Raw genomic sequence first — 6,703 nt, forward strand, 5'->3', positions numbered from 1 at the left:
GCCTGGGTGAAAGAGCGAGACTCCGACTAAAACTAATAATAATAATAATTATTATTATTATTTTAAAAAATGAAAAAAACGAGATTCACTAATTTGCTAATCTTGCTTGTTTTTACTTCATGTGCTTAACTTCATGTGCCTGGGAGTTAAATGTTTCAACATAAGAAAAGGAAAAACACAATTCATTCCAAATGGGAATTCATTAGATAACTCAATTCTCTGTAGTAAGCCCAATTAATGATGTTTAGAAAAAAATAATTATGTGCCTTGCACATTATGCAATATTTACTAAACACCTACTAAGCTCCAGGCTGCTGCAAATAAGGCAGTGAATAAAGCCAGGAAAATAATTCCTGCTCTCATGGAACTCATATCCTAGTAGAGGAGAAACTGATGATAAACAAACATATAAATAAGCAAAGAAGGGCACAGTGAGAGAAAATGGTGCAGAAGGTGATGTGATTTTAGACAGATGGCCAGGAAGCTCTCAGATAAGGTGACATTTTTGCAGACACTGAAGCAGATTGGGGAAGAGCATCCTAGGCAAGGAGAATTTAGAGGCCAGAGCGGGAGTGTGCTTGGCATGGAGGAGGCCAGCATGGCTGGAACAAAGGAAATGAGGAGAACAGTGAGCTCAGCAAGCTAGCCAGGGGCCAGATCATCTGGGGCTTTCTGGTCCTGGAAGGACTTTGGGCTTCATTTTGCTGTGATGGGAAACCTTTGGTGGGTGGGGCAGAAGAATTGCCTGTGTTTACAAGACAAAAGGATCACTCTAGTACCATGCGGAGAATGAACCACAGAAGGGCAAGAGTGAAAGCAGAGAGACAAGTTAGGAGGTCTCTGTGGTCCAGGCAAGAGAGGACTGGGCCTGGGAGGTTGCGGTGGAGGTGATGAGAAGGAGCTGGATTGTGAATTTGTTTTGTTTTGTTTTGTTTTGTTTTTGGAGATGGAGTCTCACTCTGTCACCCAGGCTGGAGTGCAGTGGCGCGATCTCAGCTCACTGCAACCTCTGCCTTTCGGGTTCCAGCAATTCTCCTGCCTCAGCCTCCTGAGTAGCTGGGATTACAGGCTTGCACCATCATGCCTGGCTAATTTTTGTATTTTTGGTAGAGACAGGGTTTCACCATGTTGGCAAGGCTGGTCTTGAACTCCTGACCTCAGGTGATCTACCCGCTTTGGCCTCCCAAAGTGCTGGGATTACAAGCATGAACTACCATGCCTGGCTGCGAATGTATTTTGAATGTGGAGCTACCTGGGTTGAGGGATGGATTGGATGTTCCATGTGAGCAAAGAGAAGAATCGAATGTGAGACTCCAAGTTTTTAACACATGCCTAAAGGTGAATGGAGGTGCCATTTCCTAAGATAAGGAGGATGGCAGGAAGAACCAGTTTGGGGGTGAGACTTAAGAATTTCGTTTTGGACATATATTTTTTTATTGTGGTAAAATTTATATTACATAAAAATTACCATTTTTACCATCTTAAAGTGTACCATTCAGTAGCATTACATACATTGACAGTGTTGTCACCATCACCATCATCCATCTCCAGAACTCTTTCATCATCCCAGGCAGAAATTCTGCAATCCTTAAACTCTAACTCCCTCTCCTCCACTCCCTGCAGACCCTGGTAACCTCTATTTCACCTCCACCTCTATTGCACATGGAAGTATAAGATGCCTGCTGGACATCCAAGTGAAGATGTTGAAAGGCAGTTGGTATACTGATTCTGGGTTGAAGGGAGAGACAAGAGCTAGAGACATCCATTTGCGAATCATCAGCAGATGGAACAGTGTGCATACAATTCCCATTGATTCGACTGAATGTTTGACTTAGCTTCTCTCACTCCAGTGCAGCCCAGAAAATGAACATGGTGCAAGACACTGTACCCAGCATAGAGTAATGCTTCAATCAATATTTATTAGGCTGAGCAACGAAACCTTTTGCCCTGTAGTTTGAAGGAACATTCATTCATTGAACAAGAATTTTTAGAACTACAAGCCTTTAAAATAAATACTTTTCTTTCTTGAAAATAAAAAGTCTCAATGAATTTTAAATACACTGGCACTTCTTTTGCAGTTTTCAGAAATAATGTTTGATTTGTGATCTCTTTGGCTGATGATTGTGCCAAAATCCAGTACCACCTGATACCATGCTGTGCTACATAAACAGAATGGGAGTGACGTGACCAGATGTGTTTTGTCAAGATGAGGACCAATCAGCTTGAGAAACAGGAGAAGAGCTTCTGTCTAAACCCAGGCATACAAGGTGTGTTTCAAAATTGCCAACCTTGATTCAAATTACCCTCGTGGCATTTAAAGAAAAATGTGGTCATGCAAAGAGGTAAAATTATGGCTACCAAGATGAGACTCAGACAGCAATTTATCTTCAGCCAACAAATGTTTTCTACACAGAATAATCTTCAAGTGCCAGTTCTTGATCATTTCAGTTACATGCAAGTATTTAGGAACTGCTGAGCCTAAGTGGGCAGCAGCCCTTTGGCATGTCTATGTGTGTAATGCATAACTGGGGTGTGGGAGACATTGGAATTTATCTTTGGGTGATAACATTGGAATCAGCTTCTCCAGCCATGCAGCCACAAGTATAGAAATACAGGGATATGTATTTGGTATGGGAAGATTTCAAAAGCCTCAGCTGTGTATTACATTCCCTTGGCATCTGTCTCCCATCACCTCTATAATTAACCATAGGTTATTAATCCACTAGTGCCATGGCTACAGACTTGAAGTTGAATGGAAACAGCCTCTTTGCCATAAGTAGAGGCTGTGAAATTCATAGTCGAGAGGTACAAGATGGGCAAGTCTTCATATACTCCAGCTTCAGTGTTTCATTGAAAAGTGAAACCTGTTCACACTAAAATCATTAAATGTTTTCTCTCAGTCCTCATACCTTCTCAATTCACACTGGCTGTGTTGGTGGATGCAAAAGTATCTGAATTTGGCATTAATAATACTTCAAGAAACCAAACAGTTTCTGGAAGGCATATGAGAATCTTCAATTACTTGAGTTGTAATTTGAACTTTGAAAGCTAGGATATATTTGCCTACTTTGAAAAAAGATAACCTATCAGCTTAAAAGGCTGCTAATCCAAATCAAATTGTGAGGGAAACATTTAATTTCCCTGGTCCCCTAACTGTCATCGAGTTTGTTCATTTCCCATTAAGTCAGAGGAGGAAGGAACCAGTATTTCCCCATATTCTTTTTTTTGTTAGTTTTTGTTTACAGTGGAAAAATATATTCAGGATGGATTCCACAAAATACTTTCTTAACCTGGTACTATGCTGACTCACCACCCACCTCCAGAAGTGAATTTCCTTAGGGTATGAGGGCCTCCACCTATCTTCAGTGATGATAGGAAAAAACTATTTTAATTGCTATTGTATCATGAAAAGACTTATGGACCAAAATAAATGCAAAAATTCCTGCTTCTGAACGTTGGCAAAACACAAACTAGTCAATGAAGGAAACTAACATGTCCTTAGTGACGCACCAACAGCATTTTCTAACAAACTCCACTGCAGAACTGAAAGCCAGAAATCTTTTCCAACACACAGAATAATTTCAATTGCCCTAGGGTTTTTGAATGAACCATATATTTGATGTAAAACCATAGTTCAGTGATGTGTCCCATTCTTTAAACTATTTTTAAGTTATCATAGCCCTATTAGACAATGCTGATGACCACTATTAGCTGAAAATTTAACCTTGACTTTCCCGCTACCTTGGCGTGGTGTATGTCATAATCCATTATCAGTTGGTGACTCTCACCACACAAGCTTATTTAGCCAAATGCACAGCTTTTCAGCAATTGCTCAGGAAATAATTAATGCAATAAAACGCTTTATATCTATTTAAAGGCCATCAACTCCTCTTCTTCCATTTTATCATTGGGAATGCATTATAAGACACAACATATTCTAGGGAGTCCAAGTGGAGATTTAAAAAATCTACATGGCATGACACGATCCATAAATTGGTCGAACTACAGCAACTGCCTCTTAGCCTCTGAGTATTTAATCAAGCCTTCAATTCAGATAAGAAGGAATAACCTATTTCCTGCCAGAAGATATTAAGTGGTCTCAACACACAGTCCAGGTTTAGTAAACCTCTAGTGTATACAAATAAGAATCATGGTAGCTAAGATTGCAAATATGGTAGGTTAAGTTTCTTGATAGCCTTAAAGCTAAGGAGAACATGGAAGGCAGTGAGAAGTTATGAGACAATCTGGTCACCAGCATGGTTGTTGCTGGGTTTTAGAAACTATATGTTCTTGTGGCTGGGCGCGGTGGCTCACACCTGTAATCCCAGCACTTTGGGAGGCCGAGGCGGGTGGATCACGAGGTCAGGAGATCGAGATCATCCTGGCCAACACGGTGAAACCCCATCTCTACTAAAAATACAAAAAATTAGCCGGGTGTGGTGGCGGGTGCCTGTAGTCTCAGCTACCGGGGAGGCTGAGGCAGGAGAATGGCGTGAACCCGGGAGGCGGAGCTTGCAGTGAGCCGAGATCGCGCCACTGCACTCCAGCCTGGACCACAGAGCGAGACTCCGTCTCAAAAAAATAAAAATAAAAATAAAAAAAACAGAAACTATACGTTCTTGTTGGATAGACTGGAGGGAACAGTAGTGGTAAGAGTGGGGGAGGTGCTGTCAGCAGGGGTGAAAAGGAACCATAAAGGAGATGGACCCTCATGTGCTGAGTCACCAACAACTGGTTTCAATTCACTGATCTGAAAAAGGAGACCAGGAAAAGGAGCTGGCATTGATTAGAGAGGGGTGTAGGGGGTTGTATTTTGAAGAGTTTTAGTTTGAGGGGCCTGTGGAATATCTGCCTGGAGGCTCAGGTCTTGTGTCCCAGGAGAAAAGACACCCCTGAAGGGTGCTAATTAGGCTCTGGGAGAGAATTAAGAAGTTGAGTGTAGAGAAAAAGAAAGCTGAGGCCAGAATCCAGCAGGAGGCAAATGAGAGTGGGGAGGGGAAACATGGAGGGACCCCAGCACATGCGGGGGCATGGACACCAGGAAGGAGAGCGTTTCAAAAGCTCCAAATGATGTAGGTTAGTTCATGAAGAAGAACCCGGAAAGGGTACATAGCATTTGTTAGTTAGGGGATTGGTTTATTCTGTTGAGTCAAATTAAAAGTGAATAAGGAGAGGGATCAATATCCGGAGGCATGATCAGTTGTGGCTCTTCAGAAAGATGGGCAGGTGAAAGAAAGGAGAAGACAGGGGGACAGCATGAAGGCTTCCTGGGACTGGAGACTTCAACAGCTAAGAAGCGGAATAACAAGACTAGCACAAAGTCTAGCTGGGGCAGGGTGCTTTCACCATACCTAGTGCACAGTTCAAACACCTGGCCATAGGTGTCAGGATCGTGCGGGGGCGGGGACATCAAAGCCACAGTGGAAATGACAGAACCAGGGACAAACCGCTTAGAGGCTGGTGAGGAAGATAAGGTATATATACTACATATGGGGTATTTTCATTATATGTTTTTCTTTTATACACACACACACACACACACACACACAGTTTTGAGTGACTAGTGAAAAGGTCACAAATTATATGTTTCACGTGGAATTTTTAAAACATTGAATTAGTTGCTAACATTTATTTGTATTTATTTATTTGAGATGGGGTCTCACTCTGTTGCCCAGGCTGGAGTACAGTGGCATGATCTCAGCTCACTGCAATCTCTGCCTCTCAAGCAATCCTCTCCAGAGTGGCTGGAACCACAGGCAGGCACCACCATGCCCAGCTAAGTTTTTTGTATTTTTGGTAGAGACGGGGTTTCACCATGTTGCCCAGGCTGGTCTTGAACTCCTGAGCTCAGGCAATCTGCCTGCCTCAGCCTCCCAACGTGCTGGGATTACAAGCGTGAGCCATGGCACCTGGCCTAGTTGCTAACATTTAAAAATTGAGAATACTTCCTGTAAAAGACATTTTTTTTCTGACTTATCTTGATAAATGAAATGACCTGGGTACTTTCCTGCTTGGCAGCCCTCGTCAGGAGCTGCTGGTGGTGGCACCTGCCTTGGATGGTGCAGGTGCTCTCCTGTGCCCTGGTCCTCACCAGTCCCTATTGTCTACCCCAGCCCACTCCATTCACTTTATCTCCTCGGCCCCTTTTAACACATGACTTTGCAACCCGTGGGCTGGAAGTTCTAGGCAGTGTGAAGAAAAAAGTCAAATGCTAATGAGCCATGGAAGGGGTTACGATTAGACTCAAGTTTAGAGCCAAATCTCAAAGGCTATTTTCAGTAATCCATAGATTTTGAATGTAACTTCTGTATTGCATTTCTTCTAAAATATAAACCTATGTATACAATATAAATACAGATTCACAGTCCCTTATTCACAATTTTGAAATTCACAGGTTCTAAGGCACAAAGTTTTATTTTTAAAAACTAACTCAACGTTGGCAAGACCTGAGCTGATGTGGGGCTCTTTATAGAGTCTAGTTAGCCCACTTAGTGTGAATGTTCACACATTTTGCTGCAGAAATATTAACGCATAGGCTATGGGGTACATAATATACAGTCTATGCACCATAGTACCTTTATAAAATTCTAAATTCTGGCCCCAAAGGTAAAAGTCTGGGACTCTTAAACAGCAACTTTCACATACTTATAAACGAAGGTATCACTTTCGCCATTTGAGAGGGGGAAAAAGTACCCTGTTGGGA

At 42.2% G+C, this 6,703-nt stretch overlaps 1 annotated feature.

Moving 5' to 3' along the window:
* Positions 477 to 986: an enhancer, noted in NCBI's record as "NANOG hESC enhancer chr3:71694238-71694747 (GRCh37/hg19 assembly coordinates)". NCBI's record gives its function as "activates a minimal SCP1, AML or CMV promoter by ChIP-STARR-seq in naive H9 embryonic stem cells {active_cell/tissue: H9 hESC(naive)}" and the evidence as "EXISTENCE:reporter gene assay evidence [ECO:0000049][PMID:30033119]".

Source organism: Homo sapiens, chromosome 3 (assembly GCF_000001405.40).
Source record: "Homo sapiens chromosome 3, GRCh38.p14 Primary Assembly".
NCBI lineage: Eukaryota > Metazoa > Chordata > Mammalia > Primates > Hominidae > Homo > Homo sapiens.